At 41.5% G+C, this 25445-nt stretch overlaps 1 protein-coding gene across 12 annotated transcripts in view, besides 1 other annotated feature; it reads left to right on the top strand.

Moving 5' to 3' along the window:
- Positions 1-24657, top strand: part of CDKL4 (cyclin dependent kinase like 4) — a 79150-nt gene extending 54493 nt beyond the window's left edge. For 3 of the 12 annotated variants that reach the window (XM_047444141.1, NM_001397900.1, XM_017003982.2), the window contains 5 exons: positions 2126-2323; positions 4919-5001; positions 7981-8037; positions 13307-13441; positions 16532-16982. In XM_047444141.1, coding sequence (XP_047300097.1) covers positions 2126-2323; positions 4919-5001; positions 7981-8037; positions 13307-13441; positions 16532-16633 — 575 coding nt within the window. In that variant the 3' untranslated portion in view covers positions 16634-16982. Of the gene's footprint in view, positions 1-2125; positions 2324-3168; positions 3282-4918; positions 5002-7980; positions 8038-13306; positions 14242-16531; positions 16983-23920 lie in introns of those variants that run through there. The other 9 variants (XR_001738736.2, XR_007073748.1, NR_144521.2 and 6 more) reach the window with 8 other exon arrangements.
- Positions 10926-11220: an enhancer, noted in NCBI's record as "tiled region #10874; HepG2 Activating DNase matched - State 8:EnhW, and K562 Activating non-DNase unmatched - State 23:Low". NCBI's record gives its function as "activates a minimal TATA promoter and a strong SV40 promoter by Sharpr-MPRA in HepG2 and K562 cells {active_cell/tissue: HepG2 | K562}" and the evidence as "EXISTENCE:reporter gene assay evidence [ECO:0000049][PMID:27701403]".
- Positions 24658-25445: the final 788 nt, after the last annotated feature.

Genomic DNA, 25445 nt, shown 5'->3' with positions numbered 1-25445 from the left:
CACAGAATTGTGTATGTAGTATGATCAAAAGTACTTGTACAGGCCTGAGCAACATAGTGAGACCTCTATCTATACAAAAAAAAAAAAATTTTTTTTTAAATTAACCAGGCATGGTTTCAAGCCCCTATAGTCCCAGCTACTCAGGAGGCTGAGGCAGGAGGATTGTGTGAGCCCAGGAGTTCAAAGCTGCAGTGAGCTATGATTGTGCCACTGCATTTTAGCCTGGGGGACAGCATGACCCTGCCTCCAAAAAAGTGGTACTCAGAACTATGCTGTAAATAAGAAAAAGACTCCAACAAAATACACCAAAAGATTAACACAAAGTACCTTTGGGTGGTAAAACTTGGGTATATTTACCTTCTTTCTGTTTCCTTATGTATTTTTTCATGTTCTCTGCAGTGAGCATATATGACTTTTAAGTCGAAAAATGTTCCAAACAAATAAAACAGCTGACTTATCCTGTGAATAGTGAAAATTGTTAGTGGTTGTTATTTTCCTTCTCATTCTCCAATTTCCAAATTTCCATTATGGCATTTATTAATTTTTATCCTTCAAAAGTTTATATAACTTTATAAAAGAGCAATGAGCAAGTAAAGATTATTTCCTTTTCCCACTCCTATGAGGACTGTTCTCTGACCAGAGCTGTAGCCGCTACTTTCTGAGCTGCCTTTTGTGGCAGTGTCTTTGGGGCTACCTGACGACTTTACTAAGGAGAATTGCCCATTACCTCATCTCTGCAAGTCGGGCTGCTTTCCAATTGTTCCTCCTCTGTAATGCATTTGTACAGCTCCTGATCGTTCAGGGTCCTGTGATGATTCTGGGATTGGCTTCCACCCACTTGGAGGCAGGTGCCTTGGGTCCAGGCAGTCCACACCTGTGGCATAGGGCAGGGCTGGGCAGTGAGGGTGCACCTAGCTCTCTGTCATCTGTCTATCACATATCACACATGACTCATACATAGTACAAGGAGTCAAATTGAGGTCTTTGTCACAGTGGGTCACATTTGGATAGAAAAATTAATTTATGCAATTGTCTAGTGCTGCATTAGTTTCCTGGGGCTGCCATGATACATTACCACAATCTGAGTGGCTGAAAACAACAGAAATCTATTTTCTCACAATTCTGGAGGCCAGACATCTGCCATCAAGGTTTCAGCAGGGCCACATTCCCTCTAAAGGCTCTAGGAGAGGCCCCTTCCATGTCTCTATCCTAGCTTCTTTTTTTGTATATGTGTGAGTTAGAGTCTTACTCTGTCGCCCAGGCTGGAGTGCAGTGGCATGATCACGGCTCACTGCAGCCTCCACAGGTTCAAGTGATTCTCCTGCCTCAGCTTCTCAAGTAGCTAGGACGACAAGCATGTGCCACCATGCCTGGCTAATTTTCGTATTTTTAGTAGAGACAGGGTTTTGCCATGTTGCCCAGGCTGGTCTCAAACTCCTGACCTCTAATGATCTGCTTGCCTTGGCTTCCCAAAGTGCTGGGATGAGAGGCATGAGCCACCATGCCCGGCCTCTAGCCCAGCTTCTGATGGATGTGGGAAAAGTTGGCATTCCTGTGCTTGCAACTGCATCACTCCAATCTCTGCCTCCAGTATCGCTTGGCATTCTCCATGTCTCTGCATCCCTGTAAGGATTCAAGTCATTGGATTTAGAGTCCACCCTAATCTAATATGACCTCATCTTGACTAATTAATTACATCTGCAAAAACCTTATTTCCAAATAAGATCACATTCACAGGTAGCAAGAATTAGGACTTCAACCTATCTTTGGAGGGGACACAATTCAGTGCACAACAACCACCATGCTGATGGTAAAGTGGAAACCAACAATGCGGTTTAGACTTAAAGTCACACTCCAGAAATTCTCATTCCCCCCATCCCTATCACACCACCCGCCACCCCAGTTTGGAGTAGTAAGAGATGTTAATTATCTAAAGTGCTCTTGAATGTCAAATTTACTATCTCAATGCACAGTAACTGTTTCCTCAATTAGTGCCTCAATGCATTAACCCTTAAGAGTATCATGGCCTCTGATGGTTATTGCAGCCTGAATGCCTGATGTGTTCTTGGGAGCAGTTCACATGTTGGGAGAATTGACTTACCTGATCTGATTGATGCATTTGCAGTTCCAGGAGATGCCTACACCGATTATGTAGCTACGAGATGGTACCGAGCTCCTGAACTTCTTGTGGGAGATACTCAGTATGGTTCTTCAGTCGATATATGGGCTATTGGTTGTGTTTTTGCAGAGCTCCTGACAGGCCAGCCACTGTGGCCTGGAAAATCAGATGTGGACCAACTTTATCTGATAATCAGAACACTAGGTATGAATTGCATTTTATGGCAACAGAGTTGCTGAATTGTTATAGCATTCATATGTTACTATAATAAAAAATAAATAAATAAAAATAAAAAACAAGAGTTTTATTGCTTCTTCAAAGTGTCACTCAGGATGGTTGTTCTCAGTTCTGGGTTGTAGCCAAAGCCCAATCCTTTTCTAAACATGCAGAACCGTAACTCCTCTCAGGGAGCTCTCAGATCCCTTTGCAGGAAAAGTCAATTAGCCATGGAATAAACTATACATTTACTTTCCATATCAGACTAAGATAGGGATAAGGATATGAGTCAGCTGCCTAGAGCTTAATCTAAGATATTTGATCAAATGCAATTTCTGTCCACTGTAAAAGAGGTTCCCCCCTTTACTCTAGAGCAGGAATCAGCAAATTTGTTTCTATAAAAAGCTATATGGTAAATATTTTAGGTTATGCAGGCTGTACAGCCTCTGTTGCAGTTCCCCAACTCTGCTATTGTAGTGCAAAAGCAGCAATACGCAGCATGTCAACAAATGAGCATAGCTGTGTTCCAATAGAACTTTATTTATGGACACAGAAATTTTAATTTATTGTAGTTTTCACGTGCAACAATATCAAAAAATCTTTTTTGACTTTTAAAAATCTGCTTAAAAATGTAAAACCAATTCTGAGGTCACAAGCTGTACAGAAACAGGCAGTAGGCCAGATTTGGCCCACACTCCTGCCCGAGATCCTAAGAGTCTGATTTTACTTCCTGATTAGGGGTGGCTGCTGAAGTTTAGAATAATGTTAACACATCTTCTTTGTATAGTACTTAAGAATTTACAAATTACTTTCATACGCATCATCTTTTTCAGTCTTAAGAAAAACCTGTTAAGGAAGTTATAATGTTTTTAATTGTGCCTATGTTATAAACGAGGAAACAGAGGCTTAGGGAGCTTCCATGATTGGCCTGAAGTCATATAGCCAGGTAAGTGCAGAATAGGAATGAGACTGCAAGGGTTTCTTTCGTGAGCTTTCATTATGTGTCAGCATAACCCGAAAAGTGAGCCACAGCTTCATGCCAACAGCATGGATGCAAAGAAAGTGACACCTCTACACACAAAATGAGAATTTGTTAATTTCTTCCCACAGGCTCTCCTGGCAGCATGGCTGCTGGACAGTTCCCTGGTCAGTTCCAACATATTATGGAAAATTCTGCAGCATGAAAAATGTGGGGTAGATTACCACTGCAGGCCACACTTTGTTTGTCTGATTCATTCCCTAAAAAGATTCTGGAAATTTACATTACATACCTGAGTTTAAATCCTGGATCTGTTAAGTTACTGTGTGATCTTGGACAAGTTATTAAATTTCTCTAAGCCTCATTTTCCTCATTGGCACAATGGGGATTTAAAATAGCAACTACTCCAGGCTGGGCAACATAGGCAGACCCCATATCTGCAAAAAATTTTTAAAAATTAGCTGGACATGATGGCGCATGCTTGTAGTTCCAGCTACTCGGGAGGCTAAGGTGGAAGGATTGCTTGAGACTGGGAGATCGAGGCTGAAGTGAGCCATGATCATGCCACTGCACTCCAGTTTTGGCAACAGAGAGAGACCCTGTCTGAAAAAATAATAACAACTATTGTTGTGAGATTATGAGATGAAGTCTCATAAAATCTCATTTATGAGATTAAATGAGATAATGTGTGTAAAGACCATAGTACCATTCTCTCACCTTGTCTTTTTTTTTTTTTTTTTTTTTTTTTTTTTTGAGACGGACTGTCACTCTGTTGCCAGGCTGGAGTGCAGTGGTGTGATCTTGGCTCACTGCAACCTCCGCCTCCCAAATTCAAGCGATTCTCCTGCCTCAGCCTCCTAAGTAGCTGGGACTATAGGTGCGCACCACCACACTCAGCTAATTTTTTGTATTTTTAGTAGAGACGGGGTTTCACCATGTTGGCCAGGATGGTCTCGATTTCTTGACTTCGTGATCCACCTCCCTCTGCCTCCCAAAGTGCTGGGATTACAGGCGTGAGCCACCGCACCCAGCCTTCACCTTTTGATGGAGGCTGAATGGTGACCACATGTGACAAAGAGACTGGTTTGGGAGAACTGGCCTTACCTGAGAAGGCATGCGTCTGCAGAATCCCATTCCTCTCATCTCTGGAGGGAACAATCAGGCACAATATTTCTTTCACACCTGCACTTCAGGCGTTAACCCTGTTTTTTGTTTTTTGTTTGTTTGTTTGTTTTGTTTTGTTTTTGAGATGGAGTCTTGCTCTGTCGCCCAGGCTGGAGTGCAGTGGCATGATCTCAGCTCACTGCAAGCTCTGCCTCCCAGGTTCAAGCGATTCTCCTGCCTCAGCCTCCTGAGTAGCTGGGATTACAGGCATGGACCACCACGCTTGGCTAATTTTTGTATTTTTAGTAGAGACGGGGTTTCGCCATGTTGACCAGGCTGGTCTCGAACTCTTGACGTCAAGTGATCCACCTGCCGTAGCCTCTCAAAGTGCTGGAATTACAGGTGTGAGCCACCATGCCTGGCCTTCAGGCATTAACCATTTAAACACTTGATTATTCTTTGCCAAATTTATGATGAATTATGTGGTTTGTATTTTACAGGAAAATTAATCCCAAGACATCAATCAATCTTTAAAAGTAACGGGTTTTTCCATGGCATCAGTATACCTGAGCCAGAAGACATGGTAAGCTGCTCTGTTTTGAATATTTTATTACTTGTGTTGCGGCTTTCTTTAAAGAGGTAGTTGTTATTTATTTATTTATTTTGAGATGATGTCTCACTCTGTCACCAAGGCTGGAGTGCAGTGGCAAGGTCATGGCTCACTGCAGCCTCAACCTCCGAGACTCAAGTGATCCTCCCACCTCAGCCTCCCCAATGCTGGAATTACTCATATGAGCCACCATGCCTGGCCTGTTTCTTTTTTAATATTTGTGTTTTTGGCTTCTGTTTTCCTTGTGACATATTAGCACAGTGTATTATTCTATTTTCACACTGCTGTAAAGAACTTCCCCGAGACTGGGTAATTTATAAAGGAAAGAGATTTAATTGACTCACAGTCCAGCATGGCTGGGGAGGCCTCAGGAAACTTACAATCATGGCAGGAGGGGAAGCAGGCACCTTCTTCACAAGGCGGCAGGAGAGAGGGGTGAGGGCACAAGGGAAAACTGCTACTTTTAAAACCATCAGATCTCATAAGAACTCCCTTACTATCATGAGAACAGCATGGAGGAACCCCCGTCATGATCCAATCACCTCCCTCTCTCCACACATGGGGTTATAATTTGAGATGAGATTTGGGTGGGGACACAGAGCCAAACCATATCACACATATTGAAGAAACTATATAAAAACTACATTACAATGAGCCAGGAAAAATGCTTTAAATGTTTACTTGTCTTATCTATTCAAAAATTAATGTTAAATTTAAAGTGAAAATATATTTAGTATCTTAGATACTACATAATTTTAATCCATTGGTCAAAGCCTTAGGAGAATTTTCCCTTAAATAATTATATTCTCATAAAGACTACTTATAGTAGTCTTCTTTATTTTGAAAAAAAAAGCATTTAAAATTTTTTCGGCTTGTAAAACAAAGCTCAAATCAATCAAAAGCTTTTTTCACAACATATATTTTTACATGGGAGATTGTTTTACAAAATGATCCCCATTGTACTCATTAAACTCCAAATCACAGGGATCATCTCTCTACTCTTGCAATGGTCTTTGCCTTTATTTGAAAACATATCAATGACTATTTGACTCTCTCTCTTGCTCTCTGTAGACATTGACTTCCTGTGTGTGTTACCTAAGTTCAGGCTATGCTCTTTAAAGCTCCATATGGTCCAGAATCTGCCTGTAAAAGAAAAAACTGTCAAGAAAAGCATGTGTCCACACTCCAACTATGCTGGAGTCAGAGCCACGCAGGGATGGGGCAAAGTCTGAGAAGGCAAATCATGATCTATGATAGATGTGAACTGTCCAAATAACCTGAGGTCCAAATGGTCCCAACCATCTCTAGACACCCTGTTCATTTTAAATCAATTATTTCATATAATATCTTGATTTATATACTGGTTTTCTTTTTTATTGTCTTTGTTAAAGCCTTTAACAAATGTAATATAAGGTTAAAGGTTGAACTGCAAGGTTAAAGGTTACAAAGGAATATTTATATAACGTGTGTTTAAAGAATAAACTACAACAAACTTAAGTGTCTTAAGTTTCCCACCATTATCTTTCAGGCATCTCCATCCCCTTCTTTCCTCATCATTCTGAATGTTGTGTTTTTCATTCTTTTGATTTCTGTAGTGCTCTTATGCATGTAGTCCAATGTATTTTCATGAATACTCAAAAGCATCCTTAGAAGTAGATCAGGCACAGATTTTATAGCACTGTTGTAGGATTTCAGATGGGAGCATTTGGGACCCACATTTACCCAGCATCAACTGCAAGACATTGTGAAATTAAGAAAATTAACTTCAGTTTTATGTATTTCAGATCTTTACATACAGTGTACAATTATATAAAAGAGTGATTTAAAAAATATATTTAAAGCCAGGCGCGGTGGCTCACACCTGTAATCCCAGCACTTTGGGAGGCCGAGGCAGGCGGATCACTAGGTCGGGAGATCGAGACCATCCTAGCGAACATGGTGAAACCCCGTCTGTACTAAAAGTACAAAAAATTAGCCGGGCGTGTGGTGGGCGCCTGTAGTCCCAGCTACTCGGGAGACTGAGGCAGGAGAATGGCATCAACCCGGGAGGCGGAGCTTGCTGTGAGCCTTGTTCGTGCTGCCACTGCACTCCAGCCTGGGCGACAGAGACTCTGTCTCAAATATATATATATATATATACACATATGTATATATACATGTATATATACATATGTATATATATATGTATATATACACATATGTATATATACATGTATATATACATATGTATATATATATGTATATATACATATGTGTATATATATACATATGTGTATATATATGTATATATACATATGTGTATATATATGTATATATACATATGTGTATATATATGTATATATACATATGTGTATATATGTATATATACGTATGTGTATATATGTATATATACGTATGTGTATATATATGTATATACACATATGTATATATATACATATGTGTATATATATACACATATATATGTATATATATGTGTGTGTATATATATATATTTAAAATGAATTATTGAACCTACTAGAGAGTCTTTCTTTAAAGTGTTGTTATTACTAATATATTCAAAATATAGGCCAGGTGAGTTGGCTCACCCCTATAATCCCTGCACTTTGGGAGACTGAGGCAGAAGAATCACTTGAGGCCAGAAGTTTGAGACCAGCTCATGCAACATAGCAAGACCCCATCTCTACAGAAAAATAAAAAATTAGCTGTGTGTGGTGGCACCCACCTGTAGTCCTAGATACTTAGGAGGCTGAGGTGGAAAAATCTCTTGAGCCCAGGAGTTCAAGGTTAAAGTAAGCTATGATCATGCCACTGCACTGCAGCCTGGGAGATAGAGGGAGACAGTATCTCTAAATACACACACACACACACACACACACATACATACGCACATATATACACACACATATTACTTTGTTCTTATGTAATATTGAATGTTTTAACCTTGTTTTTCAGGAAACTCTTGAGGAAAAGTTCTCAGATGTTCATCCTGTGGCTCTGAACTTCATGAAGGTACTTAAGAATCAATTATAACTCTTATTAGCTATAAATTGTAATGACTGAAGCTGGTAATTTGAGGAGGGGTGGACAGTGGATTAAATAATGCCAAAATAGGATGTAGTCATTGAAAATGATAAAGAACTGTAAAACAATTCCAGTTAAAGGGACATCATTGGTTTAAGCAGTAATTGTTCTAACATATCTATTAACATTAGTAGATGAGGCAAAATCAGAGCCATGCAGACACCAGACCTAGCTCCTGCACTAGGCCCAAGAGAGACGCCAAACCAAGGACAGATTCAAATAAAAAGCAGAAGAAACTTACCTATGCCTAGTCTGCCATTCATGGCGCCACACTAGAAGGTGTGTGACCCTGTCATACATTGTGTATACCAAAAGCTCATTGGACAAAGGGTATGAGGATACCAGAGAGGGTATCTACCTTTGACAATCAATTAAGTTCTGTCTACAGTAGTGTCTTCCAAATGTGGCTATTCATCAGAATGGCCTGGGAACTTTTGAAAAATACAGATTCCAGTATCTAGCCTCAGATTCAGAAGGGGAATTTTCATGAGTGGGACCTTGGCATGTGTATCTTTAAACATGCCCTTAGGTGATTATGATAAACAGCTCAGTTTGAGACTCATCTGATCTAGACGGTGGGGCCATTTGGATGACCTAGAGTCAACTTTTGTAGACCAGCCTTTGTGCGAGTGCTGGTCACTGCCATGGTGCTATCCAGAGTGCTGGAGTGCTTCAACCTAAGTCCTCCTGAGAGTCAGAGCCTGATACCCCTGTGCTCTCAGACTCCCCATACCATTGCTCCACCTGACCTCAGCTGCCATCTACCCTATCTTACTGCCCAGATCTGCTTTCACCCAGCACTCAGCAGGTCCTGTCCTAGAAGCCCAGTTCCCTGACCTTGTTCTTGACAGGTTGTTCTGACCCACTTGCAATTTAGCAAAACCTGCAAGGGAGAAGGGAGACATCAAGCACTGCAAGCCCAACGAATTCTCAGATGGAAGCCAGAGACAACCTGTGGTTCCCTGGAAAGCAACTCTGGGGCATGAAAACTGCAAGATATAGGACAAGTTCCCTGTCCTCATCTCCAAAGATGAAGAGCCCTGGTTGGCTGCCTAAGGTTTTAGATGAATCTAGGTTTGTTACTCGACTATTTTATTTAGACCCATAAGTATCAACCTAAGACCCAAGAATCCTCTCAGTGCATCAAGGATTGTGCTGTTTCATGGACCACACCCTATCTTATAGATTCCTGCCCCATATTAGATGAGAGAAGACTTTAATTCTTTGCAATTGAGACATTTTTTTTTTTTTGAGACAGAGTCTTGCTCTGTCGCCCAGGCTGGAGTTCTCCGCTCACTGTAACCTCCGCCAACCAGGTTCGAGTGGTTCTCCTGCCTCAGCCTCCCAAGTAACTGGGACTACAGGCACACGCCACCACACCAGACTAATTTTTGTATTTTTAGTAGAGACAGGGTTTCATCATGTTGGCCAGGATGGTCTCCATCTCCTGACCTCATGATCCGCCCACCTAGGCCTCCCAAAGTGCTGAGATTACAGGCGTAAGCCACTGTGCCCAGCCCAAGACATCTTTAATGGCAAATAAGTACTGGCTACCATAACTGGTGTTTATCCCATGGGACCGAATCATAACCTATGCAGGGACTGCTCAGGTGGATGGCGTATTTGGCAATGGCAGAGTCAAGGAGAGTGGTGGCATGCAGTAGCCAATCTATGGCAGGTCTTCTGTGTTCTCTTCATTAGGTTTAAAATGAGACCATGAGCACAATCTTTCTTATTTATTACTCATTTATTTCCATAGTCATGATGATCCTATCACTATATCAGCTTCAGCTGGTCCATCAAGAAGAAGACTATAGACTATTAGAAATTTTATCAGAGCGTTTTCTGTGAAATTTGAAGTTTGGATTTAAGAAAAGGATCCTGACTTGGACTTTACCATTTTGATTTCTCATTTCTCATCTTCCAGATGTTTTCTGGGTTAGGAGCACATCTACAGGGAACACCTCTGATTAATTCTTCAGCTTCTTGATATACAGAAAGTTATTAATCCAGGCAGGCAAGGACTCAGAAGCCTCAATTCTACTCAGCTCATCTCAATGCTTCAGAATTAAGCAGGACATTGTTCCAGCTCAGACTCCATGGAGAGAGCTCAGCATTAGCAGTGTCTTCTAAGAATCTAAAAATGTTCTTTAAAATGAAAATTCATAGGTATTTAGTGATGGACTAGATTTCAATAGTTTTGAAAGCCCATATAAAAACATGAATGAGGCTGGGCATGGTGGCTCATGCCTGTAATCTTAGCACTTTAGGAGTCCAAGGCAGGAGGATCACTCGAGCCCAGGCATTTGAGACCAGCCTGGACAACAAAGTCAGACCCTGTCTCTACAAAACATAAAAAATAAATAAAAATTATTCAGGCATGGTGGCATTTGCCTTTAGTCCCAGCTACTTGGGAGGCTAAGGCGGGAGGATTGCTTGAGCCCAGGAGCTGAAGGCCGCAGTGAGCCATGATTATGCCACTGCACTGTAGCCTGGGTGACAGTGAAACCTCATCTCTAAAAAAAAATAAAATAAAATCAACGTGAATAAATTCAAGATATATTTGAAAGGAAAACCGATAGGACTTAATTATCATTGATATATGGGGAATAAAGTAGAAGAGGTGGCAAGGGTACAGTGGCTGTATTGCTTTTTCAGGTATTGGCAGGTCTGGGCTTTCTCTGAAAACTCTTGGCAAGGTTCTTTCCTTGCCTCTTCCAGCTTCTTGTAGCCCCAGGCATTCTTTCACTTGTGACAATGTAACTCCAATTTCTACCTCCATCATAGCATGGCATTCACTCTGTGTGTCTGTCTACACCATCTTCCCTCTTCTTATAAGGAAACCAACTGTAATTGGGTTGGGGGTGTACTCCATGCCATTATGACCTTGTCTTCACTAATTACATCTGCAAAGAACTTATTTCCAAATAAGGTAACATTCTGAGGTCCTGGGAGTTAGAACTTCAACATACATATTTTTGCGGCGATACAACTCAACCCATAACAGTGACCTTGAGGCAGATGTTAAGTAAGCAGTTGCACCTGCAGGTCTGGAGTTCACAGGGGAGGTCTGGAATGGAATTGTAGATGTGGAAATCTCTGGTAAACTTTGATAATTGAAGCCATAGGCAGCAAAGAGATCACCTAGAAACCAAGAACAGATGAGAAAAAAAGGGGTGGCTAGGATTTGGCCTTGAGGAATTTTATCCAACCATAGTGGAGAACATAGTAGAGAAGAAGATAAACTAGCAAAGGCTGGTTTGAAAAGGAGTGGCCAGGAGGGAGGAGCAAGGAAAGTGAGAGATTAGAGAAGCCAAAGAGAAACAAAGTTTCAAGGAGGGCTTGGTCAGTAGTGTCTAATACTATTGAGATGAGAGAGAATTCAAAATACATAATGGGTTGAAGGATATGGAAGTAGAGGTCAGAGGTATTAATAACAAGAGCCACTTTAATGGAACAGTGGAAGCAAAAGCCAGAATAGAGTGATAAAGAAGTAGAGACTATCACAGTTTGTATTCAAAATAGTATTTCTGGCCAGGTGCAGTGGCTCACGCCTGTAGTCCCAGCACTGGGAGGCCGAGGTGGGCAGATCACTTGAGGTCAGGAGTTCGAGACCCGCCTGGCCAACATGGTGAACCTGTCTCTACTAAAAATACAAAAATGTACTCAGCATGGTGGTGCATGCCTGTAATTCCAGCTATTTGGGAGGCTGAGGCATGAGAATCGCTCAAACCTGGGAGGTGGAGTTTGCAGTGAGCCGAGGTGGCGCTACTGCATTCCAGCCTGGGTGACAGAACGAGACTTTGTCTCAAAAAAAAAAAAAAAAAAAAAAGTCTTTCTCTCCTGATTGTAGCCCTAACAGTACTAGGATTTGAGGAGAATGTTTTTCCAGCAGCAGCTGGAGTTGATATATGGCATGGGTCATTAATTAGGGGTCATCTGCTTGGACCAGGCAGTTGACAAGGAGGGACCAGTAAGTCTAGTTTTACTGAGCAGGATTGTTTCTTGAAGAACAGGACTAATCAGATCCCTCGCCAAGGGCCAGGTGACACTGCTTAGGGGCAGGCAGCTTCAGGGATCTCAGAAATCTGAGGTCAGCTGGGGTCAGGGAGGAACAGACACCACAGGGCAGTGCCCGGCTGGGGCAGCCTCAGGCAACGCAATTGTCTGGGCTTGAGAATGCCTCAAAACAATGTTTGTGCTGGTGGTGAGCCTTATTTCTCTCTTATGATGGAAGGCAATAATTGTCAGGTCGTCTGTGCCTGTGTATTGTAAAACTGCTCCTTTTAAAAATGTAAATAAAGGAGAGATGCGGTCTCACTATGTTACCCAGGCTGGTCTAGACCTCTGGACTCCCAAAGTGCTGGGATTACAGGCATGAGCCACCAGGTCTGGCTTAAAGCTGCTCTTTATGGATCATAATCTGTGTTTATTGATGGGCAAAGTCCCACTGTCTGGCTGGAGTATCAGTGTTTCTCAGAGAAAACCTCTTTGTGTCAGGACCCCCACTGACCCCTCTGCTGTGATACTCCTCCCCACTCTCAGAAGCCGACCTAGAGGCTTCTAATGGTCTCAAATATAGAAGGGTCATAATGTCACCTTTTCTGTTTTGCCTGTAGTTATTTTTATATGAATATATAGTCAATTTTTCCTTGTTTTAGGTTCATTCTCATGACTGAGGTTCTCACTTCCTCAGTCATCTCCTTAACCCAGTGGTTCTCAAACCTGAGCATATGGGCATCGGAATCACCCAGAGAGCTTCTTAAACACAAACTGCCGGGCCCCACCTCCAGTGCCTCGATTCCCTTTGGCAGGCGGGGTATAGGACCCAAGACTTCGCATTTCTAGGAAGTTCCTGCGACGCTGATGTTTTTAGTCCAGGGACTATACTCTGCAGACTGCTATAAACGATTTGCTTTCAGCAGTGATTTTAAAATGTCATTGGTGGGAACACCAGATCTACAGGTGGCCTCTTTCAGAGAGACACTGACCATCCATTCATTCTGCCCTCAAAAGACTTTGAAGTAGGAAAAAGAAGAGCAATCCTAGCTATTAGCAAGCTCCAACTACTTGATAATACACAAACTGGAAGATTTTCTAAACTCATATTTATCCTAGCAAGTTATTCAGTTTGTGGGCACGGTAACAAAATGAGCCCCTCCCTTAACATCTTCTTTGCTATTCTCTTCCTCCAAAGGGGTGTCTGAAGATGAATCCAGATGACAGATTAACCTGTTCCCAACTCCTGGAGAGCTCCTACTTTGATTCTTTTCAAGAGGCCCAAATTAAAAGAAAAGCACGTAATGAAGGAAGAAACAGAAGACGCCAACAGGTACTTCCGCTCAAAAGTTAAAGTGCTATAAAAATAATTCCTTTTTTGTTTTTGTTTGTCTGCCTTTCAAAGTGAGACAAGGTGGACACCAAGACCTTTCATTTGTACTGGTGTAGTTGTATTTGTCTAGCTTAATAAATATTGGTAATTGATGTAATAAAACCATAGAACTATGAAAATATCAAGATTATTGCAAAAATCTTATTCCAAACACACCTGAATCAAATCGTTACGCAACTCTTTGGCTGCTCTGATTGGATATCCCACCCACAAGATCGTATACCCATAATATAACAACTTCATATAATAAAATGCTGATTCCAACAGGACTGAGTTTTGCCAGCATTGCAAAGGAATCCAAGTGCCTTTCTGTAGCCTCCAGATGTGCAATAACGGTAACTTGACTCTTCCATCTTTTCACCCACAGCAGGCACCTAAGTCTGCCTTTCCTAGGCTTTTTCTCAAAACCAAGATCTGCCAGGTACAAAGGAATGAAACCCAGACATCTGGGAACCAAATTCTACCCAATGGGCCAATATTGCAGAACAGTATGGTGACTGTTATGACAAACATTAATTCTGCAGTTTATCAGGTGACTGTCCTTCACTTGCTTTCAGAAAACTTTGAAGTTAAATCGTAAACTCCATGGAAATAGGTTTGTTTTGGTTCAGGGCTTTTTCTCACCTTGTAAACCCGGCACCTAAAACAGTATCTGACACAGAGAAGGTCCCTAATATTATTAAAATAAATAAGTAGACGAACATTGCCTAATAATAAACTGAGTTGGTAATTTCCAATTCATCAGAGGCTAGCAATTTTCACAGTTTGCGTTTGCTTAATCTTTCATCTTCAATCTAATTTTCAGTCATTCGTCTTCTCATTAGCATGTTTTCCGTAAAGGAAGAAAGTGTTGTCTTTTCCCAACCTTTTAATAGTTAAAATAGAAGTTTGTTGGGAGAGAAAAATCAAACTAATCCAGAAGATGAAATGTTAAATCATTTCTGTGTATCCAAAATCTCTAGGTATCCATATTTTGATTACATGGGCCATTTTACCTTTTGCTATTAAATGTTTGCAAATCAAGCCCAATGCAGCTTATACTTAAATAACAACAAAAAAAATTAAAGATCGCTGAGGCAGCAATCTGAAAGACAGTGTGAATTGTGTGTAAAAGGACACTCTCCTGTTAAAAACATCTCAGCTGGCGCGGTGGCTCACACCTGTAATCCCAGCACTTTGGGAGGCCAAGGTGGGCAGATCACTTGAGGTCAGGAGTTTGACACCAGCCTGGCCAACATGGCAAAACCCCATCTCTTCTAAAAATACAAAAATTAGCCGGGTGTGGTGGCGGGCGCCTGTAATCCCAGCTCCTTGGGAGGCTGAGGCAGGAGACTTGCATGAACCCGGGAGGCAGAGTTGCAGTGAGCTGAGATTGTGTCACTGCACTGCAGCCTGGGCAACAGAGTGAGACTTCATCTCAAAAATAATAATAAAAATAAATAAATAAAAACATCCCAGCACTTTGGGAGGCCGAGGCGGGTGGATCACTCGGTCAGGAGTTTAAGACCAGCCTGGCCAACATGGCAAAACCCCATCTCTACTAAAAATACAAAAATTAGCCAGGTGTAGTGGTGGGCGCCTGTAATCCCAGCTACTTGGGGGGCTGAGGCAGGAGAATCGCTTAAACCCTGGAGGCGGAGGTTGCAGTGAGCCGAGATCGTGCCACTGCACTCCAGCCTGGGCGACAAGAGCAAGACTCCATCTCAAAAAAAAAAAAAAAAAACTCACTGGATTCCCCCCAACACTGGCCTGGGAGGGTCCACAGTGTCAGCTGCCCCAGCTGGACTCCTGGTCCCCCTAATCACTGTCTACCTGGGAATCTGTCACAGACCTTGCCTTGCCTCGCCTCGACGGGGTTGGGTGCTGCTCTCCCTTCACAGCCTCCAGCTCTCTGCTTGGGTTTACAGCTGTGCTACCCTTCCTTCAATGCCTGCAACCCAGCTGATACAGATCAGGGACTGTGAACAAGGCCTTCCAAAAGGCCCAGAGGCAGCAAAAGGAAAGAAACACAAAGGGCAGCATGCACCTAGAGAATCTCATTTACAGAGATCAGCCCATGTTCTCCATCCTCTGTAAACTGCATTCTATCCACCTCTGCATGGTGGGTCCCCCTGTAGCACCTACACGAGGCCGGTCCTAAACAGCTCTCTCCTTCAAGTGAGGTGCCCAGGGAGCCAGGCCAAGAGAAAGACAGGGGTGCCTTTCAAGTTCTGGTGTTCCTTCAGAAGACACACCTGAATCCTAGATATTTTACCATGTCAGAAAATAAATGTTACAGAAAAAAGTCTTTTCATTCATTGCGGTTTCCTTAAGACTAAATAATGTTTAAATTTGATAGTAAAGAGGTTTTAAGCCTTTGCTATTCTGCCAATATTCTAGCTATTCAAAATTTGAGGCCAGGTGGGTGGCCCACACCTGTAATCCCAGCATTTTGGAAGGCTGAGGCAGGTGGATCACCTGAGGTCAGGAGTTCAAGACCAGCCTGGCCAACATGATGAAACTCTGTCTTTATCAAAAATACAAAAATTAGCTGGGCATGGTGGCTCACACCTGTAATCTCAGCTACTTGGGAGGCTGAGGCACAAGAATCGCTTGAATCTGGAGGCAGAGGTTGCAGTGAGCCGAGATTGCACCATTGCACTCCAGCCTGGGCAACAGGCTGAAACAGAGTGAAATGGTGTCGAAAAAACAAATAATTTTTTTGAGGTGGGTACAATGTAGTCTCCTGGAATTATTGTATAGTAGCTGATGGGCATCTACCTTTTAAGTATTGACTAGATACTCAGATTAAGTGTACTGAAATAAATAGTAGTATATCCATGGGTATCCTAGAATAAGTAGTAGAACCTAATTTTTAGGTATCAGAGAATCTCAATTTTTGGAAAGGTAACCCTACTTAATTTTAAAATTGATGTCTTTTGACATCTTTGTACCATAAGTATCTGCTTGTCTTATCATCTTTCAATCAAACTGTACAAATAGGAATTGTTTTCAATTTGCTTTCTTATTGTTGTCTTGTTCTGCTATTAGAATCAACTGTTGCCTCTCATACCAGGAAGCCACATCTCCCCCACACCTGATGGAAGAAAACAAGTCCTCCAGTTAAAATTTGATCACCTTCCAAACATTTAGGAAAATGTTCTTTCAAGTGCAAAGTAATTTAATATGTACACATTTTGTACAAGTGAGATAGGAATTCTCAGTGTTTCAAATGCAAATGAGCCATATGAAAATTAAGATGCCTTCTAGAATTGTTTTGCTCTGATCATTGCTGATTCCTTTCCCCATGTTTTACATGCCAACTTTATCTTTTAGAATATTTTCTTTAAATGTTATAAAGCCTAAAACTGCACATATGGAAGAGACATTTTCAATTTCATCAGAGCAGCCCCTCCCGAGGCTATCTATATGGAGAATTTGTGAGCTTATACTTTGATTTATGAAAAAGATTTACATGTGTCATCTTGCTTCAGCTGACCACATAATTTCTTAAAGCAATATCAAATAGCCTGCCTCACTGTTTGTGTAAGAAATGACATATGTTCCTGCATTGTAATTCATACTTATTGTAACCAGGTCTGTTGAGTAATGCTGGTATCTTATTCTGTGTTTTTATATTGGTGTAGAAAGGGAACCTTGAAAGGTCGTTCAGGTTTATCTCTAGATTCCATGGCAGGCTCTCCTTTGTCTGTCTCATGAGGCATTGATGATTCTATTTTTAAAGCTAGCTAGAGAAAATTACATACAAATTCCAATACATAGCAAACAGTGGACCAATGACAAGGAATTGCCATCCTCATCAGTAACGCCCTCGGATAATTGACTGCTGTCCTTTGCTATATCACCATTCCTTATCCTTTTCTCCTCCTGTCTAAGTCATCTCATGACCCAAGCCGATCCTCCTGGGTGTGTTGTCTGAATAGCTCATGGATAGTACTCTCTTGCAAACATTTGCATCCATGGCCTCTATGAAATTGTACAGCCCAAAACTAGTGAGGGCATCTTAATCAGGTTGGTTTGTAAACACAAGAGCAGGAAGATTATCTTTCAGTTAATATTATTTCATATCTCTTACAAAACAACAAAGCAAAGCAAACCCCTCAATAACTGAGCTGAATTTACTTTGGGATATTTTCCCAACCAAACTTGACATACATACGTATATACATATATATATTTTTTCCCAACTAAACTTGACATACATACGTATATACACATATGTATAAACATGTATTTGTAAATATATACTTAAAATTATAAATTTTGCAGCACCATATTAGGTGCCTTTTATCCTGGGCATCAAAAATGATGCAGAATATTTAAAAGTACTTTTAGTTAGCTAACAAGGAACTCATATAAAATAATAGCATAGGGCTATCACTGTTAGGCAAAAAGGCGCAATCAGTGATATTCCTATCAGGAAAAATTAAAGAGTATTTTATTAACTCATTTCCGCTCCCGTGTCTGGCATACTTAACTGAATGTTGTCAAATTTTGCAAATACACTTTATTCCAGAAATTTTCTATGTCCAGCACCAAGAGTTAAGGATATATTGTTGTTGAAGAAACATGATAATATCCTATGTTCGTGTCTAAAAGTCTTCCGCACTTAGAAACACATAAACTCCCAGAGAATCTCATTCAGTTATGTAGAAGCATCCATTTAATAAGGAATTATGACATCTAAGCAATAGTTTTTTGTTCACGGGAAGGGTTTTTTTTTTTTTGAGACAGGGTCTTGCTCTGTCACCCAGGCTGGAGTGCAGTGGTGCAATCACAGCTCACTGCAACCTCCACCTCCCCAGCTAAAGTGATCCACCCATCTCAGCCTGTAGCTGGGACTACAGCGGGTGCCACCACACCTGGCTAATTTTTAACTTTTTTTGTAGAGATACGGTCTCGTTATGTTGCCCAGGCTGGTCTCTAACTCATGAGCTCAAGTGATCCTCCCACCTCGGCCTCCCAAAGTGCTGGGATTACGGGAGTGCGCCAACACGCCCAGCAAGGAAGGACTTTTTAAGTGAGCTGATCTGATCTGGCCTACATTCTTAGTGTAAATATAACCTGTTAAGTAAGGCCTTCTTATTTTCATCTTGTTATCAGGAATATGCCTTTTCAGATTTGTATATTTCTTGCTTTTTTTGTTTTTGAGACAGGGTCTGACTCTGTCACCAAGGCTGGAGTGGCGCAATCGTGGCTCACTGCACCCTCGACCTCCTGGGCTCAAGCAATCCTCCTGCCTCAGTCTCTCAAGTAATTGGGACTACAGGGACATGCCACCATGCCCAGCTAATTTTTTTTTTTTTTTTTTTTTGAGATGGAGTCTCACTCTGTCGCCCAGGCTGGAGTGCAGTGGCACAATCTCGGCTCACTGCAAGCTGCTCCGCCTCCCGGGTTCACGCCATTCTCCTGCCTCAGCCTCCCTAGTAGCTGGGACTACAGGCGCCCACCACCACGCCCGACTAATTGTTTTGTATTTTTAGTAGAGACAGGGTTTCACCGTGTTAGCCAGGATAGTCTCGATCTTCTGACCTCGTGATCCGCCCATCTCGGCCTCCCAAAGTGCTGGGATTACAGGCGTGAGCCACCGCGCCCGGCTCCAGCTAATTTTTTGTAGAGAAAAGGTCTTGGTATATTGCCCAGGCTGATCTCAAACTCCTGGGCTCAAGCAATCTCCCTGCCTGGCCCTTCCAAAGTGCTGGGATTACAGGTGTGACCCACCACACCCTGCCAGTTTCCTGCATTTTTAACAGGACGATACCACGGGTGCAAAGAAAATGAGAAAAAAGATAAAAGGCAACTTTGCTGAACAATTTATTTTTAGCTTTCATAATGTTTTTCATTTAAGCCTTCTTATTACCAAACCACTCATACTGCTCTAGCTATCTTAAATATATATCTCTCTATATTATGTATCTATATAGATAATATATTTATGCATATCCATATATACACACATAAAATATGATATACACATACACATATAGAAAATAAGACAGCATTCCATTGCCCATTTTGCTTGTAATTATGTTTCAAATAACAACGAAGTTTTTGGCAGGGATGGTGGGATGACTGTCTTTCCTTATTTTTGCTTGCATTAAAAAATTAATTCAAACTAGCATTTCTCTTTTTTTTCCTCAGACAAATCCATCACTTAGGTGTCACTGGGGAGGGGACAGGAGAGAGCATCTAATGCTTAGAAAAATGCTCTAATATAGTCATATTACCATGAAGAAAAATAAACAGGCCAGGTGCAGTGGCTCATGCCTGTAATCCCAGCACTTTGGGAGGCCAAGGCAGGCGGATCACCTGAGGTCAGGAGTTCGAGACCGGTCTGGCCAACATGGTAAAACCCCATCTCTACTCAAAATACAAAAATTAGCCTGGCATGATGGTGGGCGCCTGTAATCCCAGCTACTCAGGAGGCTGAGGCAGGAGAAACACTTGAACTCAGGAGGCGGAGATTGTAGTGAGCTGAGATCATACCACTGCACTCCAGCCTAGGCAACAGAGCAAGACTCCGTCTCAAAAAAAAGAAAGAAAAGAAAAATCAGCTTCTGATGCCATATGCCTGTTTAATTGTCCCTGGGTGGCCCAGGCCACAGCATAGCATTGCTGCTGCCTGCGTTGCCCAGGGTCCCCAGTCTCAAGCTGTAACTCCTTCCTGTTTCAAATACATATCTCTCACCTCTGTACTACACAAATTCTCTCACACCCTTCAGCCCATGAACAACAGTTGCTCTTCAGCATCTGGTTCCCAAATTGTGCAGTGCCTTTTTTTCTTTTTCTTTTTCTTTTTTTTTTTTCGGAGCGGGGACAGAGTCTCACCCTGTCATGCCCAGGCTGGAATGCAATGGCGCAATCTTGGCTCACTGCAACCTCTGCCTCCCGGGGTCAAATGATTCTCCTGCCTCAGCCTCCCCAGTAGCTGGGATTACAGGTGTGTGCCACTGTGCCCAGCTAATTTTTTTTGTATTTTTAGTAGAGATGGGGTTTCACCATGTTGGCCAGGCTGGTTTTGAACCCCTGACCTCGTGATCCGCCTGCCTCGGCCTCCCAAAGTGCTGGCATTACAATCATGAACCACCATGCCCAGCCTGTGTAATGCATTTTTTATCTTTAGCAAATAGTCTTGTCCCAGACTCTTCATAGAATCCTACTTGATCCCGTAATTATGAGTTTCTGTTAGGCTCTTGTGCAGTTTCTGGATCACCTGGGTTCTGTCTCACTTATGTCAACTTTCAAGCCTTTTGTTTATGTAGTTCCTTCCTGATGCTGTCCAAATACTGCGCCATCATGGTGAGTGACGCCGCCTGAACACTCCTCTGTGCTCCGCCTCTTCGTGGCCTCTTCCCACCTTGGTTTCCTCAGACTTTCCACACACACGTATCTTAGAGTCTCCAAACAGTTTTTTGTTTGTTTGTTTTTTAGTGTGTTTGCTTTTCACAGTATTTTCAGGCCATTCAAAATGCAGACTTTGCCTATTCTTAGAGCTCCAACATAAAGGACATTTCGTTAGACCTCTCTCAGCCCTGGTGGCCTATGTGCTTGGGCTCTGTCTTTAATCTCTATTTCAGTCCTGGTGATATTTGAATGTAATTGTTCCAACTTGCCCCAACCACAAAGCCCTTTTAGGAGATCACTTTTTGAAGATTACTTTAACTAGACTGAATTGCTGAAAAGTTGTATTCAAGAAGCTTTTGAATCCTTGGGATTAGGGAGATGATTGAGTAAAGGGTAAAAACTAAGTTCTTGGGGGATGAAGAGTTGAAACAGAAAGTAGTTTGTTTTTTTTCCTTCTAAATTAGGTGTATCACAGTTCTTCATTGCACTTGCAGATTTCCCAACCACAATATTAAGGTTATTTTGAAAATCTTTTTTTTTTTTTTTGAGACGGTCTCTCTCTGTCGCCCAGACGAGAGTGCAGTGGCATAATCTCAGCTAACTGCAGCCTCCACCTCACATGTTCAAGCGATCCTCCTGCCTCAGCCTCCCGAATAGCTGGGATTACAGGCATGTGCCACCACGCCCAGCTAATCTTTGTGTTTTTAGTAGAGATGGGGTTTCATCCTGTTGGCCAGGCTGGTCTCGAACTCCTCACCTCAAGTGATCCACCCCACCTTGGCCTCCCAAAGTGCTGAGATTACAGGAATGAGCCTGACCTGAAGATGTTTTGTGCTCCTTTAGCTTACTTGCCATAAAATTACAATTTTCCAAAAAGTTAGCACTTTCTTAGTCATTTGTCACCACCATTGATTTCTAATCCTGGTCACAGAATTCTCAAAAAAAAATTTTTTTTTAATTAAAAACTACCACCAGAAGAGGAATGATCTTAAAATTTTGCAAACATTAATATCCTTAAAAAACTGGGGGACCAGGTGTGGTGACTCACATCTGTAATCCCAGCACTTTGGGAGGCTGAGGTGGGCAGATCATGAGGTCAGGAGTTTGAGACCAGCCTGGCCAACATGGCGAAACCCCGTCTCTCCTAAAAATGCAAAAATTAGCCAGGCATGGTGGCGGGCGCCTGTAATCCCAGCTACTCGGGAGGCTGAGGCAAGAGAATCGCTTGAATCCGGGAGGTGGAGGTCGCAGTGAGCCAAGATCGTGCCTTTGCATTCTAGCCTGGGTGACAAGAGCAAGACTCTGTCTCAAAAACAACAACAACAACAACAACAAAAAACTAAAAACTGGGGAGTCAGTGTTAGCTTCATCACAAAGATACAGATTTTTAGGACATAAAGATAAAATGCCACTCACAAGTTAATGTTCTGCATATGTGTTTGTTTGTTTTATCTTTTCTTTTCTTTTCTTTTCTTTTCTTTTCTTTCTTTTTTTTTTTTTTTTTTGGAGACAGGGTCTCACTCAGTCTCCAGGCTGGAGTGTTGTTTGTTTTATACGAAAATTAACAACTTCATTCTTGTTTTAGGAGAAGACTAAAGGTGTTTAAGAGTAGTAGTTAGGACCAGGCATGGTGGTGCACGCCTGTAATCTTAGCACTTTGGGAGGCCGAGGCAGGTGAATTGCTTGAGCCCAGGAGTTTGAGACTAGCCTGGGCAACATGTCAAAACTCTGTCTCTACCACAAAAAATACAAAAGTTAGCCAGGAGTGGTGGCGTGGGCCTGTACTTGGGAGGCTGAAGTGGGAGGATTCCTTGAGCCCAGGAGGTCAAGGCTGAAGTGAGCCATAATTGTGCCACTGCACTTCAACCTGGGTGACGGGTTTACTTGAGCCAGGAGGCGGAGGTTGCAGTGAGCTGAGATCATGCCACTGCACTCCAGCCTGGGTGACAGAGTGAGACCCTGTCTCAAAAAATAAAATAAAATAATAAGAGTGGTCATTAGAGAAAATAAATAGAAAAATCATTTGGTCTGGAAGTTTGGACAGCTAGGTTCTAGGCCTAAACTGCAACTCTCTGTGTATCCTTGACACAACATTTAACTTTTCTGTGCCTTCTGTAGCTTTGCTGTTTTCTCATTTGTAAAATAAGAGAGTAGTGAAGCTAGATCATTTCTAAGTCTCCCTTTCAACTCTAAAGTTCTGTGATTCTCTATGGCACACAGTGTTTGTATCCTGGTCATATCTCCCACTACAAGAGGCTTTCTAGAGAGTGTTTTTCATTAACAACACCAAGATAAAATTGTAGTGTTTATGATCTAGCCAGGAGCCAGGAGTTACCTTCCTCTCTCTCATCTCTGTCTTCCTTGCTTGCTTTCACACTCACGCAAACACACACACGACTACACCCTACTAGCTCCATCATGTCAATAGTAGTTTACAGGCAACCATCTAACACAGGTTAAATTTTCCAAATGAAAATGGGTTTTGAAGCTAATTATCACTAGATTTTAATGAGTGTAAATAAAATAGGTGTGTTTTTAAAATGCAGAGTAATATGTAATCATTATTTGATGTTTTCATCAAAGAATTGGATATGATGCATATCATCAAGGAAGAACATTTAATCAAGTTTTAACTTCAGCAACACTTTTAGTAGTTTGAGTAAATGATAATTAAATTTTACAGATATATCTGAATTGTGTACATTTTTGTTTCAAAAGCAAGGACTCAAGCCTGGCACAGTGGCTCACGCCTGTAATCTCAGCACTTTGGGAGGGCAAGGCAGGCGGATCACGAGGTCAACAGATCCAGACCATCCTGGCCAACATGGTGAAACCCCGTCTTTACTAAAAATACAAAAATTAGCTGGGCGTGGTGGCATGTGCCTGTAGTCCCAGCTACTCAGGAGGCTGAGGCAGGAGAATCGCTTGAACCCAGGAGACAGAGGTTGCAGTGAGCTGAGATTGCGCCACTGCACTCCAGCCTGGCAACAGAGTGAGACTGTGTCTCAAAAAAACAAACAAACAAAAAAACAAAAAAAAAACAAGGACTCAGGCTCTCTCTTTTTTTTTTTTTAGATGGAGTTTCAATGGCGCTATCTCAGCTCACTGCAACCTCCGCCTCCTGGGTTCAAGTGATTCTCCTGCCTCAGCCTACTAAGTAGCTGAGATTACAGATATGAGCCACCACACCCAGCTAATTTTGTATTTTTAATATAGATGGGGTTTCACCATGTTGACCAGGCTGGTCTTGAACTCCTGACCTTGGGTGATCCACCCGCCTCAGCCTCCCAAAGTGCTGGGATTACAGGCATAAGCCACCGCGCCTGGCCTGGCTCAGTCAACTTTTAATTTACCCCAAAATTTGCTTAAGCTGAGAATTGGTAATCCTACTCAACAGGCATATAAATGATTTGTATTTTTAAAGTTAAAATTTTTCTTTCTGTTATGAACACTACTCATTGACCATATGTCTAAATATTGTCATATTGAAGATTCTGTGTGTCCATTTATTATTTTAGCACATATTTGTGTAGAAGCAGGTATATTTCAAATCACTTGAAGTCGTAGCTATATGTTAGTTAACATTGATAATTAGCCTAATCGTAATTTAAACTACTAGAAACAATTCACTAAAAGCAATTTTAGTTTTATTATGTTAAATATACATAATATTATGGTTTTTAAAAATTTAGCTTAAGATACTTTGAAAACCCACATATGAGATTAAATATTTTGGTGACTTTATATTTGTATATATAACTTGACTATGTTCTTTAGCTTATTTTAATAAAAGAAATATTTCTGTCTCCTAATTTCTATTCAACTCAGCTATTCATTAATTTTCTAATACTTCGTATTTAAATGAAAAAAACTGTCATCTTCATATGTAAATTCCACAGCTTGTTATTTAATTTCCTATTGGTTGGAATATCTGAACAGCTGGCATGGCAAACTTTTTTTGTGTGTGCCTTGGGTTGGAAATTCTTACAAATGGAAAAACTAGCAAAATATTTTCCAGTCTAACTAACTAGATGCTTATCCTTGAGAAAATCTTTACAACTTTACTTTGAGGCTGTAAGATTCTTTTTCTTTCAATTTATCAAAATATTTATCCGATCCCTTATAATACTGAAGCTGCAGGATATGAAACTTTCTTGCATCTTCATTTCCAGGCTATCACAGTAATTTCTGTTGTGGGTTGTAAAAGGTGAAAAGGGCTGAAGACCAAACTCAGACTAATGATCAAAAGAGAGAAAAACAACTATAAAATAATGAATGAGGTCACTATTTAAATATGCTCCAATTCTTTCATTTTCTTTTGAACTAATATTTCTGCTTTTATTCTTTTTAATGGAGCCTGTGTTAAAAAAAGAGCATAGCAGATTGTTTCCATTGATGACTGCAACAATTTCTCCCAGCCTACATGGCTTTTGCAATGATACTTTGCCACTCCTTTTATCAAGAGGTGAAGTCGTCCTCCTCTGTCCCTACCTTCAGTCCAAGCTGGCCTTGTGATCTCCTGAGGCACACAGAATGCAGCAGAGGTGATGCTGTGCCATTTCTGGACCTAGCCCTTGGAGGGCCTGGCAGCTTCTGTTCC

The sequence above is a fragment of the Homo sapiens genome, chromosome 2 (assembly GCF_000001405.40).
Source record: "Homo sapiens chromosome 2, GRCh38.p14 Primary Assembly".
In the NCBI taxonomy this organism is placed as follows: Eukaryota; Metazoa; Chordata; class Mammalia; order Primates; family Hominidae; genus Homo; species Homo sapiens.
This window is presented reverse-complemented; position numbering and strand designations above follow the sequence as displayed.